Here is a 16,082-nt window from a genome sequence, read left to right as displayed (position 1 = left end):
AAATTTAGAGAAGAAAATGGTGCACTTTTCCTACTCTCCCTAATAGAAAAGCTACATAAAACAAAACAAAAATACAGGTATATTAAAAAATTCTATCCCAATTGAAATAAAAAAAATAAATCAACCGCCACAATCCACAACCCATAAACTTTAAAGAGTGGCTGCCAAATACTATTTCTCTGGACTGAGAGTAGGTAAGAAGCTGACAGCCAATACATGATTATTGGAAGTCAAATAGGATACAGATTTCTCCTAAACTTTCTGAAAGATATTTATAAGCACCGTTTGACTAGAGCAATAAGAACACATGTACATGGATAGGGCACTGGGGTGATAGAAGAATGTTTCAACAGAGAACGAGTTTGTACTATGGAATAGAAAGAAATCAAATTCTTAAGAGATCATTTCCCACCCCACAGTCACTCAGTGAGTATTACCAGAATTAAGGTGAAATAAATTTATAATAAAACAAAAATATTTCATCTTTCTTACAGTTCCATTAGAAGAGAGCTTGCTAATTTTAGACAGTGTAGTGCAAAAAATATAAACAATTATTTTCTGTCAGATAACAATGGCTCCAACAAATCAACAGGGTTTTTCTTTATTATTATATAAACATGGCAAAAAGAATGTGAAAATAAAATACCTGTATTTGGGAAAGCATGAAATATGAACACTGTCACTATTAGTTTTCTATACCAGGGGCATCCAATCTTTTGATTTCCCTGGGCCACATTGGAATAAGAAGAATTGTCTTGGGCCACACTTTAAATACACTACCGCTAATGATAGCTGATGAGCTAAAAACGAGATGTATGAAAGTTTATGAATTTGTGTTGGGCCACATTCAAAGTTGTCCTGGGCCGCATGTGGCCTGCAATCCGTGATTGGACAAGCTTGCACACCATTCTACCTATCAGTAGAAGTTTATTATTGCCACCACCACCAAGATTTACTGATGGACATTATATGCCAGTTATTGCAATTTCTTTATTTCATAACAGTTGCTTTATACATCAATAACTAAATTACAGTATAAAGAAGAGGATTCACATATAGTTCTTCTTTTTCTTACTGATAACAAATTCTTCCTCTGTTTGCTATGCTTAGTAAGGAAGTCAATGAGAGCCAGTAGTCAGTGGTTCCACACTGGCAGGAGCCTACCAGCATAGCTGTTGACCTGCAGCATTGGTACCCAGCCCCACCAATACATAATTTGACTATCACCCTTAAACAAATGCTATTTTGCAATAAGAGGTAAAATATCAGTGCAACTTAAAAAACAACACTTGTACATATTTTTATTCAACATTTTACATTATTCCACAAATATGTACAATTTCAATAATAAATTAAAAAAATGAGTAAAGTAAGTCTGAGAGAAGTTCATAGTCACTATATTACTCAATGACATTTTTCTGCCTTCATTTCTAAGAGTTCATCTGATCCAAGGTCTGATCATCTTCTTGACAGAAAAACTTGTTTTGACAGCACATTTGAAATGCCGAGTGTTTTGTTATGTCTAAGCAGCAGAGTGATGTTTGTTAATAACAGAAACACTTTAAAAAGAATCAATTGCAATCAAGAAGTGTTGATGAACATTTGGACAATATGTACAAAACTCTGCAAAAATTCTTTAATATTTTTTTCCTCCAGTTCCTCACATTCTTTGCATCCAGATTCTGTTACATTCTGCAAAATATAGAGAGAGATTAAATTGGCAATTTATAATTAAATTAAATATACATTCATGGGAATGGGAATATCATATCGTTTGAACCATATGGTGAGGTCTTGAGATATGAAAGCTTTAGCAAATAAATAGCATATTAGGAAGAACTACGAGGAAAGAGAACAGGGAGATTTGATATATGTTTATTTTTCCAATAATGGGTTAAGGACATTGAGAAAAATAAGCTGTGTCTATCAGACCACGGAGTTCCTGCTTTGAGCCCTTCAATGGTTTCCTATCATCTGCTTCTAGCATAAAGACCATGCCTCCCTGCATAGCACACAGGCTCTTCATGAGCTGTTCCTTACCTATTTATTTCACATATCCCCCTTGCCTCAATGTTATGCCCTAGAAACACTGAGTGAGCATCTGGCTTTCCTTGCCATGCACAGCATACTATTAGATGCCTCTCTGCCTTTGCTTTTCTCTCTGTTACATTCATTCCTATTTTAGCTGCTGCTACTCGCACTTAAGATTATTCAGGTACTCTTTTAGGGAGGCTTCTCTGAACCCCTGGGCTCCTAGGGCTGGACTCAATGTCCCATCTTTACATCTCAGAACCCCTTATTTAGACCTCTCTCACAATATGTCATGTATTCTATTCATATTATGAAGTTTTACTCTTTTTATACTGTAATACTATTCTCTAAGCTCTCTGCCAGAAGGTCAGAGCCAGTATGTTTGTTTCCCTAGCATTTAGCACAGGGCCTGACACACTGTAATCACCCATTGGTTGAACTGAGCCATTTAGGTGAATACCACAAATTGTTGTACTTCAAACACAGTCTCATGGATAACTAGAATGTTCCAAATGTAGCAATTAAGAATAAACTTTTTAGAGATCATCTGAACCATGAAGGCTGTGCCAGCAAAAATAAAAATTAGATTTTATATCCATTAACTATTTGGAATTCAGAATCAGCGACATTTATCAAGCACATCCTCTATGCCAAGCACTGTCATATTTCATATAATGCTGTCCTATTTGATCCTGAAAATAATCATGTCAGATAGGAAGACAGAGATATTGACTCATCTCAACTGACATAATCAACTGAAATTCTTCCCATCCAGGTCTTCTGACTGTGCAGTCCTGCCCACGCATTCCAGCACGTATGTCACACTCTGTCATGATGAGGATGACTATCAACATTCACATTAAAGAGCTCATCATTTATTTTGCCATGAGTTACCTGTTGCGTGGCTCACTCTTTCCACCAATAAGATGGAGATAACATCATAAGAGTATTATAAACCTTAATAAATTCATTTCATACATATGTAAAGTATTTAATATATATGAGACACTGTTCTGGGAATTTGGATATAGTACTAATAAAAAACAAAAACACTTGTCCATTTTAAGCTGACATTCTAGTAGGGAAAAACAGACAATACCCATTACATAAAATATATCATATTCCAGATATGGGACACGCAGAGAAGGGGACAGGGAGTGCTCAGATAGGGAAGGGATTGCAACTGTAAATAGGTAAATCACTGAGAAGGTGACACTGAAGCAAAGACCTAAAGCAGTCTTGTATTTTTAGAGAAAAGTCAAGGTGTCCACCCACACAAGCTTAGGGCCTTTGCACTTTCAGTTGTCTCTGCCTAAACATATGTCCCTAGATACCCTTAAGGCTCATTCTCTCACATCTTTGTCAAATGGCAGCTTATTAGCTCAGCCTACCCTAACTGGAGCCCCAGTGCCCCTACCCTGTGTCCTTTTTCACCACTGGACTTCATAAATAACTAACTTATTACTCATTTGCTGAGTGCTTGGTTTATTTCTGTTTCCTCCCTCTTTAACAGCAGGGATTATGGGTATTTTTTCATACTGTCTCCTGAGGGCTAAAAAGTATTTATGAAATGAACTAATTTGATTATGCCTCTTTGTTGCAAAACTGCTTTCTCTCTACCTTGCTTTGGCCACTGGTGTTTTGCCATGAAAGCCCTAATTCTTTGCACTTCAGGGCCATTGCACAGCTGATTCCCCAGCCTATCATACGAGTACCTAGAATTTGCTCTCCTGGAACCCTCTACTGCTCAAGTTGCCTGGGATGTCCCAGATTATACTCGAATCATTAATATTTTCATTGTTATCTTTTTAAAGCATTTATCTTCTCATGAGATAACAGACTCTGCAGACAGACTGCTCGGGTAAGAGTTGTGGCTCCCCATTTTACTAGCTGTATGAACTGAAGCGAGTGATCCAGGCTCTCAGTGCTACAATTTCTTCAACATTCAAACAGAAATAAAGATAACTATCTCACAGATTTATCATGAGGATTAAATGAATTATCAATTTAAAGCTCAAAGAATAGTGTCTGGCATACAGTAATAACTCAATAAATGTGAGTTACTATTATTGATGTTAGACATTTGAGTATGTAATTAGATTAATGTCTATCCACTGCACCTGACAATAAACACCTTGAGGTCAGTGACCTGTCTGTCTGGTTTGCAACTATAATTCTAGCACTGAAGCACACTACCTGGCATTATTCTGTAAATGTTTGTCTACTGAATCAATCATTGAACAGTTTAGCATTGTGTGCATGCTGGAGATGGTGCCACTTTTGCACACCACTCCACTGGAACAGGACTCCTTCTCCTGATTGCCCCTTAGGAGGATCTGCTTGTCCATGAATGACTTCTCCAAATCAGGCCCAAAACATAAGATGCAACTCTAAGCAACTGTTGGAAAACTCACCCCATTAGAAGACAAACTGTTGTTTGCTAGGATGATCAGATTTTCTACTGTATCATGAATACTTGCATCTCCGGACTCAAGTGAAATAACTTGTAACTCCAAGAGAAAGCACTTCATTGCTGTTACTTTGCAACTGGGCTAAAAATAAAAGTTATAAAGAACAATTACTTTTTTCTGATTATTAATTTTCATACTGATGTAATTTTGATTTTCAAAAAGTCAATCCAAATATTTTATAAAGATACACAATATCCTTAAGAAATTTTACATAGGAGGCAGCTTAATTTTTTTTCTTTTGGCTTTAAAATAAAAACCAAAACAAACCAACAAAACACAATCAAGAAGGATGGCAATATTGTACAGAAGAACATGAAACTAGAAAATGCAGAAATAGTGGCCAGTTTTTCTCACCGAGCACATTTCCCCTGTGGAAAGGGTAATAATACTGGCCTTAGAGTCTGAAAACATCAATATAGACAGTTTATTTGTAAGAATTTTTAGAATCAAATTGTGTTGTTAACATTTTAAATAGTGGTAGCTGCTAATTATACTGTTCTTTCAAGTTCCAAAGTTCCAGAGGGAGAGAAGTAATTCCAAGAAATTTATTAGAAAAATCAAAGCAGGACTAGTGTCCACTTACAGGCAGATCAAATCAGAAAAGGCTCTCTTAGGTGCCACAAAAATATGTTTTCCACAACATTTACTTTAACAATAACTTAAAGAAAGGAAACAAGGAATATCTAGGGATTTGACCATTATTTGACTTTGTGTCCTCGATACCTTGCACAGTACCTGGGAGCCTGCAGACACTTCACAAATGCTTACTGAATGGATAAAAAAAATGAAGGAATACACCCATGTGCCCAGCACTGGTAATATTCCTTAAACCCAACAGTCACTGCTTAGGATTGAAAGACAAATACTGTCACCATATCAGCAATAATAAAAATGAGCTTCAGAAATGTTTAGCAATCTCCAAGGTAACACAAGTAAAAAGTGGTGGAGTCAGTTTTAAAATCTAAACTTCTAAAATCTAAAATCTAAAATCTAAGGTTGTTTCTCTAACCCATGGGTTGCAAAGTTATCTTCTTGCAAAAAAGCAATTTCAGGATGCTGAATTTGGTGGCTAATTGACTACTTTCCATTTTACAAAAAATGCAAAGAAAAACAGAATCCATGCTGAAGCCAGAGGAGGGAGACAATTTCTTTGTGCAGCAGCATGACCCAATTGGTTAGTGAATATCTCTTTTTTCTAGTTTCTGACTATGGTTTCTTTCCAATGCTTAGAAAGTCATCTATGTAAGAGAAGTTCTAATTGAGGAATAATGGAGAGAGGACATAGAGTTTGTTTTCCCTGACGTGAAGTTGGGGATTCATTTCTTGGTTTTAGTAACAATACTGAAGGGAAGAACCACCACCAACATGACAAATCCTACATTCCTTAGGAAATGTCAGGGTATTAATGAAACAAGTTCAAGACCATTTTTCAGTTCTAATAAGTTTCATGGGTTATGTTTCCTTTCTCACATAGAGAATAATTAGAATCTTTTTCTGACAAATGTAGAGAATCATGTAAAATGCAGAACATGAATGATTTTAAGCAATTTATGGAAAATATGATTGCAGATGGTGATACATTACAGCATTGGAAATAACTGATATATTGGCTACTCTTAAATTGAAACAGTTAATCTGATTTTTGCATCTAATTGCACCATGATGCAACTGCATCACAAAAACGTATAATGTATCTTGTTTGACATTGATGGAAAAGACTCTTTTAATATTTTGATTTGGCACCATTACAAAAATAGCATTGATGTAGCTATCTGTCCCCAAGTCCCATCTCAATAATCACTAATAAAACTCATTGACCATATATTATAGAAACACACCAAAAGTTAGATTTTAAAACTACCATATTTTAGTTGTTACAAAAATATACTTTTAAAAACTTTAATAACAAGACAAATAGCAATTTTGAAAAAAAGTATACTCACGTGAACATCACTTTCCGTATATAAAGTAGCATCAATATGCATAGACTGAAAGGAAACAAAATTAGACAATATTAAAAACTATGCCCTGCTTTAAATATTATGAGAACAACCTACTGAAAACATTAAATTGTTTTTAATTCTTTTTTTATTTTGAGATAATTTAAAATTCATATGAAACTGTAAGAGTAAATACAGAGAGATCCTGTGTACCCTTCAACAAGCTTCTCCCAGTGGTAATGTCTTCCATAACCACAGTACAGTATTACAATCAGAAAATTGACATTAATACAATGCACTCACCTTGTTCAGATTTCACAAGTTTTATGTGCCACAGTGTGTGTGCTTGCATATGTGTGAAGTTTTATGCAATTTTATCATTTGCATAGATTCACATCACCACCACCACAGTTAAGACACAAAATAGTTTCATCACCACAAGGATTCTGCTGCTATTCTTTCATAACCAAAGTCACCTTTCTCCCCATACATACCTCATCATCACCCAATCTCTCTAAATTCTGGCAACCACTTCTCTGCTCTCCATGCCTATAATTTTGTCATTTCAAGAATATTATGTAAACGGACTCATATCATATGTAACCTTCTGAAATTAGCTTTTAAAAGAATTGATAGACATTTTTATGAGCCATTTAGGTTTACAGAAAAACTAGCAGAAAGTACAGAGACTTATACACCCCTTTGTTCTCCACCCCAGTTTCCCTATTGTTAATATCTTGCATTAGTGTGGTGTGTTTGTTATAGTTGGTGAATCACTATTATGATCTTAAGTGTACAGAATATTAGGGCTCATTATTTGTGTTGTATGTTTTACAGGTTTTGACAAATGTATAATGCCACCCATCATCATATATTAATATTTTCACTGCTTTAAAAGTAGCCTGTGCTCTGCCTAGCCATTTCTCCTTCCCTCCAAACCCCTAGCAACCACTGATCTTTTTATTGTCTCCATAGCTTTGCCTTTTTCAAAATGTCATAGTTGGGATCATACAGTGTGAAGCCTTTTCAGATTGGCGTCCCCATCTTTCACTCAACAATATGACTTTGAAGGTTTCTCCATTTCTTTTCATGGCTTGATAGCTTATTTCTTTTTATCACTGGATAATATTCTATTTTATAAATGTACCACAGTTTCTTTATGAAGACTGGCTTTTTTCACTCATCATAATACCCTGGAGATCCACCTAACTTGTGGGTATCACTAGTTTGTTCCTTTTTATTGCTCTGTAGTATTCCCTGACATGATATATCACAGATTTTACCAACTGAAGCACATCTGTTTCCAGTTTTTGGCAGTCATGAAAAAATCTCTGTGAACATTCATGTACATATTTTTGTGTGCACGTAGTTTTCATTTATCAAGGATGAATGTCTAAGAGCACAATTGTTGGATTGTAAGGCAAATGCATGTTTTGTTTCATAGGATGCTGCCAAACTATTTTATACAGTGCCTGTATCATTTTACATCATCACCAGCAATGTATGAATGATCCAGTTTCTCCACATCCTTGCCAGCATTATCACCCTTGTTCATTTATATTTACTTAGCATCATCACTATTTTTTATTCTGTATACGCTTATAGCTGCATGTAATAATATGTCATTGTGGTTTTAATTTGCATTACTTTCTAAACAAAATATACCCATTTTTACTACTTTCTCTCCAAAAAACTTGGGGTGATGTATAATTTTCCTTTCCAATCTGTGTGCCTTTTATTTATTTTTTTCTCATACATTTTTTCTCTCCTGCTTCATAATTTGGCTAAACTTCCAATATTATTGCTGTGGTTTGAATGTCCCCTCCAAAATTCAGATTGAAACTTAATCCCCAATGTGGCAGTATTGAGAGGTGGGGCTTTAAGAGGTAATTGGATCACAATGGCTCTGCCCTCATGAATGGATTAGAGTATCAATGTGTTATTACGGAAAGGGAACCGGTAGTTTTATAAGAAGAGGAAGAGAGACCTGAGCTAGCACATGAGTACATTCAGCCCCTCGCCATGTGATGCTTTTTGTCACCTCTGGACTCCAGAGAGCCCCCACCAGCAGGAAGGCCCTCACCAGATGTGGCTCCTCAACCTTGAACTTTTCAGTCTCATAACCATAAGACATAAATTCCTTTCTTTATAAATTATGCATTTCAAGTACTCTGTTATAAGCAACAGAAAACTCAGACAATTATGTTGAGTAAAAGTGGTGAGAGAAGATATCCCTGCTTAGTTTCCAGTCCTAGCAGAAAAACATTCAGTCTTGTACTCACCATTAAGTATGGTAGCTCTAGACTTTTTGAACATGTTTTGTACCAAGTTGAGGCAGTTCTCCACACCTACTTTCTAAGAAATTTTATCTTCAATAGGTGTTTATATCAGTCTGCTAGGGCTGCTATAAAAAGTACCACAGACTTGGTGACTTAAATAATAGAACTTTATTTTCTCACAATTCAGGAGGCTAGAGGTCTGAAATCAGGGTACCAGCAGTGTTGGTTTCTTTGGAGTCCTCCCTCCTTGGCTTATAGGTGGCCATTTTCTCCCAGTGTCTTCACATGGTTTTCTATCTCTGTGTATCTATACCCTTATCTGTTTTTCTAAAGATACCAGTCATATTGCAGTAGGACCTGCCCTCATGACCTCATTTTAACTGACCCTATCTCAAAATACAGTCACATTTTGATATACTGGCAATTAGTACTTCAACATATAAATCCAGGAGGCATAGGGAGGGACACAGGCCATGAGAGGTGTTGCATTTTATCAGATACCTTTTCTACATATGATTTTCTTCTTTAGCCTGTTGATAGGGTAGATTACATTGCTTGACTTTCAAATAATTGAGCAAGACTTGTGTACCTGAAATAAATCTCACTCGGTCATGGTGTATAATTCTTTTTATACATTGCTGAATTTGATTTGTTAATATTTTATAGAGCATTTTAATATCTAAGTTAATGGGAGATATTTTTGTAGTTGTCTTTTTTAGTAATATCTTTATTTGGTTTTAGCATCACAGTAATACTGGCCTCCTAAAATCAACTGGAAAATGTTCCTTCCTCTTCTATTTTCTAGAAGAGACTGTACAATTGTTGTTAATGCTTCTGTAAATATTTGATAGAATGATTCAGTGTAACCAGCAGGCTTGAAGGTCCCTTTTTGGGAGCTTGTGTATGATGAATTCAATGTATTTAGTGATTATATGAGTGTTTGGATTGTCTATTTCATCTTCATTATGTTTTGGTAGTTTGTGGTTTCTGAAGAATTGGTCCATTTCCTCTAAGTTATCAGATTTGTGAGCATAAAATTGTTCATAGTTTTTCTTATTATCCTTCTAATGACTGCAGATTCTGTAGTGACAGCCCCAAATTTCATTCCTGAGATTTGTGTCTTCTCTCTTATTTCTGTCAATTAAAGATCAATTGTATTGATTTTCCAAATAACCAGTTTTATGTTTCATTAATTTTTTCTATTGTTTTCTTGATTTCAACTTCATTAATTTTGGCTCTTATATTTAAATATTTTCTTTGTTCTGCTTGTATTGAATTTGTTTTGCTCTACTTCTTCTAGTTTCTTGAAGCAGTAACTTAGATTTTTGATTTGATAATTCTCCTTTTTTTCTAATGTATTCATTTGATTTTAAAAAATGTCCTGTCAGTATTGCTTTAGCCACATCACATATATCTTGATATGCTGTATTTCATTTTTTTTCATTCTATGTATTATGAATATCCTTTGAGATTTACTCTTTGACCCATGGATTATATAGAGGTATAGTATTTAATTTCCAAGCATTTGGAGATTTGCCCGTTGTATTTAATTTCTTGATTTCTGGTTTGATTCCATTGTGGTTTGAGAACAAATTCTGCATGATTTAAGTTCTGAAAAAATTTTTAAAGTTTCTTTTATGGCTCAGTATATATTTAGTCTTGATAAAAGAAAGTATATTCTGCTGTTGTTGGGTGTAGTGCTCTATGTATTAAATTAGATCCTGTTGGTTGGTTATATTGTATTTTTATGCCCTTTCTGATTTTCTGTCTAGTACTTCCATTAGTTACTGAGGAGGAGGCAGTGAAGTCCTCAAGAATAATTGTGGATTTGTCTATTTCTCTTTTATCCCTATTATTTTTTGTTTCACAAATTTTGAGTCTTCGTTGTTTGATGTGTATACATTTAAGAACATTATGTTTTCCTCACAGATTTATTTTTTATCATTTTGTAATATCCCTCTGGATTATAGCAACTTTATTTTCTGTGAAGTCTACTTTATGTTAATAACATTAACTTTGATGTTAATATAGCCACTTCTGCTTTTTATAATTAATGTATGCATGTGTATCAGTCTAGAGCTGCTGTAATAAACTACCACAAGGTGGGTGGTTTAAAACAACAGAAATCTATTCATTTACAGTTCTGGAGACTGGAAGTCCAAAGTCAAGGTGTTGGTAGGGCCATGTTCCTTCTGAGGGGTCTAGAGAAGAATGCTTTCTTGACTTCCCCAAGGTTCTGGTGGATCCTGGCAATCTCTGGCCTTCCTTGGCTTATAGCCGCATCACTCTGATCTCTTCCTCTGTCTTCACATGGCTTTCTTCCCAGTGAGTTACTCTGTGTCCTTTCCTTTTCTAATAAAGACACTTGTCATTGGATTTAGGGCCCCCCCTACTCTAGTATGATCTCATCTTAATTTCATTAATTATATTTGCAAAGATATTATTTCAAAATAAGATCACATTTTAAGGTTCCAAGAGGATGTGAAATTTGGGGGGACACTATTCAACCCATTATAGTATGCTATATCTTTTTCTGTCTTTTTAAATTTCAACCTATGTATGTCATTGTACTAGAAGTGAACTGCTTATAGATAGTATAGATGGGTGGTGTTTTGTTATGAATTCAACCAATCTCTCTCTTTTACTTGGTGTATTCTCATACTCTCCTGTGATACTAACCATAGGAATGCTGAATCTTTTGTTACTGTCGTCAAGATCAGTGATGCTTTTTTTTTCTTAAGTCAACTGTCTCTCTAGTATTCTGTTGTCAAATTAACTATCATTCCTCTGTCATTCATTCTGCTAATGAGCCTTTACAGTTTGCTTTATATTTCAGTTATATTTTCAGTTATATAATTTCTATATGGTTCCTTTCATATCTTCTATTTCTTTGTTAAGGCATTTAGTTTTTCATTTGCTTCAAGGGCATTTGTAATTGCTTTTTCAAGCACTTTTTATAATGTCTGCTTTCAAATCTATGTCAGAGAATTCCAACATCTGATCCACTTCAATTTTGTAATCTGTTGACTATATTTTCTCATTTAAGTTGTAACTTTCCTATTTCTTGTTACAATGGGTGATTTCCAATTGTATCTTGGCTTCATGTCTATTATGTTAGGACACTCTGGTCCTATTTAAATCTTCTATTTTAACATGCAGTCAGGTTGTTTGGATTTAGCATGCAAGTTCTAACCTATTTTTTAATGCTGTGATTCCAATGACAATTTAGTTTTCAGAACTTTGTGGTGCTATTTTGGTATGCTTGGTGCCATCGAGACTTCCACTGAAGCTGGTATTACCTGCTATGGCAAAAATCACTTCCTTAGGTCAGGCCACCTGTTTTCTTGAGGTGGGAGAAGAGGGCCTTTAGTCCACAAGCAACAACAGCTGTTCCCTGGGTCAAGCCATTCTCCCTGCAGGTGCCACCAAGATATCTGGCTTCTCCAGATAGAGGAAGAGAATACCTCACCTGTGCAGACTAGAACTCATCCGTCTGGGCCGCTTATAAATTACGTTTTAAAGATAATTAGATTCTAAAACAGTAAGGAAAAGACTTCTTTTTGAGCTTTATAAGATCATAAATTTCTACAAAAATATTATTGTTTCAAGTGTGGTTTCCTTAAGACAGACAGAAAAACACAGAGAGAGACAAACTCCATAGCAGTTATACCAGGCATTTTATGGAAAAATGAGTACTCACTTGAATAAGATCTTCAATTTTTTTCAAATCACTTATTACATTCACCCAGTTGGCTTCTGTTTTAGGAAGCCCTGCACTGAAACAGCTGAAAGAAAAACCATAGAGCAAAGCATTTTGAAGGAGCCTATTCATCTTGATGAATACTATAAGCAAAAGAGCAATCAATAATTTTTATTCTGACCAGTGAAAAAATCAGTGTTATCCTTGCTTCTGTGCATTCAACAGCCTTGTAACTGAACATAAACATTGAGCATATAGTACAATTTTGGCATTTTATGATAACTTGAGGCTTCACCAACCCGGATTAGAGAAAAGCCTAACTGTAGGCATACTTTATAAATAAACTGGCTCAATTTATCACAATGAAATAGAAGCAGTGCCAGATGTGTGGCAATGCTCAATAAATGATTTTGAATGAATTACTAGTTTCCTTTAAGTAGAGATTTACAGAGACTTTGAAGTCTAATAAATAGGTAAAATTCTTAAAATGAGTAATAATCATTTTCATGTAATGATTTTGATAGTAAATTTTTTTTACACTACATTAAACATGCCCCTTTCATGTTGCTCACACTCTTACTATGCTTGCAGCAGCTTTCTCCATAAACAGTACAGACTTCATTCCAGTGTAGGCTGAATGATCATATACTTACTCACTTTCACAAATTTCATAAAAATTAAAATTTAATATCCAGACAAAATACACTTATACTGACCAAGTAACATTGGAATGATGCTTAGAGCTTGAGGAAAAATAATCACTCACTTCCTGATGGATCTTACACAGAAGCATGATAGTCAACACTAATCTGTCTTATGATGAAGAATTACCTGCACAAATCTATGGTTCCCAATACCATGAAGGCATTAGTAGAGTAAAACTGAACTGAGAGTCAGATTATATAACTATAGGTTAGGTGCTTTGGGCCAACTGGGTATATTAGCTGCATCTAAGAGAGAAGAAAAAAGTTAATAGTCATGGAAACATATGAATTTTATTAGAAGGAAACAACAAAAGGCTTAAATAAAGAAAGAAATGTTTTAAACTGAACTAGGATAAAGATCAAGGGATAGGAGGAGTCAGTGTCAGGGACAGATAAAAAAGTAACATAAGCAAATTCTAAATATCTACTTTTAATTGCCATGAAAAATATGTAGTCTATCAATAAGTGGTATACTTCCAAGTTCAGTTAAATATCAAAAGGCCCAATTTATTTGAGGGCTATAATGCTTGTTTGGACTATTACCACAATGTAGAAAAATGCTCAGTTAGGTGTTTACCAAACCTCTCTAAATCTCTGTAGTCTGCCTTCTATCCCCCAGATACTGAGTACCTAGAGATATAAGCAAACTGAACGTAAACTAATTTAATGGAAAATATATCCAAGGACAATCATCATGACCATGAACATAATGTTATTTATGCCTAAAGATAAAATTACCCCAAAATGAAGACATGAATGCCAGCTTCAGTTAGAAAATGACTGTTTAGAAGTAAACACAAGTAGCACTGGATGGAAATACTTCTCAAATGTGGTTTCTGAAAAATATAATCATAGACAAATGGTTAAATTTTTTAGTTAAAAAGTGAGGTTTAAAATAACATGTCAACATATTTTTAGGTCTAAAGATGTAAGTTTGTCATAATTTCATAATTAATGCCCCTTATCAAAAATAATAAAACTATAATTTATCTTTTTTCACTTTCTCTCCCACCTCCAACTCTGTCTCTTATGCACAAAGTTCCTTAACAGATATTTCTGCAGATGCATGTCAAAGATAATTTAACAAAGTTGACATATTTGTTAATTTACATACATACCAATGTCACCACTTAAAGTTTTTATATTATCTTTGACCTCCTCCTCATCCTTCTTTCTTTTTTAATAGGTCAAAATATTTTATACAGCACAGGTTAATAACATGCATTACTAACAGAGATGCAATAGTTATATTAACTTCATGTAAATTATGAAAATGAATTATATTAATATTATTTGGTGAAAAATTGGATAAAATGGAACCAATTACAGATACTGTATTCCATCTTGAGAGTGACTAATAATCTTTCTTGGTGATTTAGGAAAATCATTTATCCTACAACTTACCAGAGTTTTGGTACTTTCACCTGCCTCTTTTGTGTTGTCGAAGCTTTTAAAGTTTCAGAAAGCAGTGTTAACTGCCACCTTAACCACTAATTGTTCATGCTTCCTTTCAAAAAGATGAATGATACCCACACCCTGCCCTCTAAGACTACACAATTTAGTGAGTACAAAGACATTTAGAGAACACAAAAGAGTGGGATAAGTGAAATAACACATTTATAATGACAAGAAGAGCCTATCAAGATGGTCAATAGAGTTTTTAAAAACCTATTTATTTTCAAAATAAGAACAATCCAAATGTGAACAGACATCTGTGATATCTCAAGATCTTTGGAGAATAACCATGTAACTTATTGCAAAGACTCTGAGATTCAGACGACCTTTAAGGGAAATTCCATAGGATATTTTCATCTATTTTTTTTCTTACCGAAATTCTCATTACTCAAAGCCACGGTAAATCCTTAAGTATTGAAGAAGAGCTGGCTATGGCAAGGGGTTTCCAGCAGCCATCCATCCACAATGCCTCCTACAATACAATCTAGGGTAAAGTATGATCCATTAAAAACACAAGTGCACTAGTAAGAAAAAGAAAGGGAGGGAATTAATACTTATTGAACACCTACCTTTTAATAAGCACTCTATTAGTTACTTAACAGATGCATCACCTTTAATCTTTACAATAATGGTATGGAGGAAGGTTAGTAGCATTTAGGTAAGCTACTCTAGGCCCATAGCAAGTACATGACAGCCAGGATTTGAGGCCAGTTCTGTCTGATTACAATGCCTTAGCAAAGCTTTTCTATTCTATTATTTCCCTGAATTGAAAAATTCCAGAGTCATACTAGTAAAAAGTAAAAACAAACAAATACTTAGATTTGTAGAAGTACTGATTGTTAATCCAGTTTACAATAGCAGTAGCCATTTCTACAGCCACTGAATATGTATCTTCAGTCTTTTAAAGAAACCATTGTTAATCATTTGAGAATTTTATAACCAAGAAAATTTTATTTTTTCTCACTCAAATCAAGTGAAGAATATGAAGATTAAACATCCCTAAATTCAACTCCATGCCATTAAAAGCAGTTTATAACCAAAATATACAAAAATAGAAACAACTATTTTCTGCCCTTCAAAATAGTATATACATGGTGACCTCTTCCACAAAAAACCAAAATCTGCCACAACCCATGACATAAATATTCACTGAATTAAGTTCCATAAACACAAAGAATTAAATTATTATACTTTTCAGATGTTTCTGAAATATAAAAAATGGCTGCTTTAAAATGTATTGTCTATAACTCATAGAAAGAAAAAGCTAACACTTATTTAGGTATTAAGCAAGATACAAAGGTGTATCCAATAGAAATACCTTTTTGTCCACAAGAACATATCAAATCTAATATTCCTGTTACATATGATCTAAATCACTCATTGATTGGTTTATTTAAAGCAAACCTTCCTTATCACTCTCATTTTATAATTATTCCCTTTGTCTATATTATCTCAGTGCTTCAAATTTTTTATAAAACTTTACCGTAATCTTCATCATTTCA

General features: G+C 34.4%; 1 protein-coding gene across 3 annotated transcripts in view; it reads right to left on the bottom strand.

Annotated features, from left to right (window-relative positions):
• The window catches only part of IL15 (interleukin 15), a 97,405-nt gene continuing 81,765 nt past the window's right edge, over positions 443-16,082 (bottom strand). For 2 of the 3 annotated variants that reach the window (NR_037840.3, NM_000585.5), the window contains exons 3-8: positions 14,954-15,064; positions 13,864-13,961; positions 12,422-12,506; positions 6,446-6,490; positions 4,446-4,583; positions 443-1,692 (exon numbers count right to left, since the gene is read on the bottom strand). Coding sequence is in view for 2 of the 3 variants with exons in the window: in NM_000585.5 (NP_000576.1) it covers positions 1,582-1,692; positions 4,446-4,583; positions 6,446-6,490; positions 12,422-12,506; positions 13,864-13,961; positions 14,954-14,965 (489 nt within the window). In the remaining variant the exon portion in view is untranslated. Of the gene's footprint in view, positions 1,693-4,445; positions 4,584-6,445; positions 6,491-12,421; positions 12,507-13,252; positions 13,372-13,863; positions 13,962-14,953; positions 15,065-16,082 lie in introns of all 3 variants that reach the window. The other variant, NM_172175.3, reaches the window with a different exon arrangement.

The sequence above is a fragment of the Homo sapiens genome, chromosome 4 (assembly GCF_000001405.40).
Source record: "Homo sapiens chromosome 4, GRCh38.p14 Primary Assembly".
NCBI lineage: Eukaryota > Metazoa > Chordata > Mammalia > Primates > Hominidae > Homo > Homo sapiens.
Note: the sequence above shows the minus strand (reverse complement) of the source record. Positions and strands in the feature narration are given on the sequence as shown.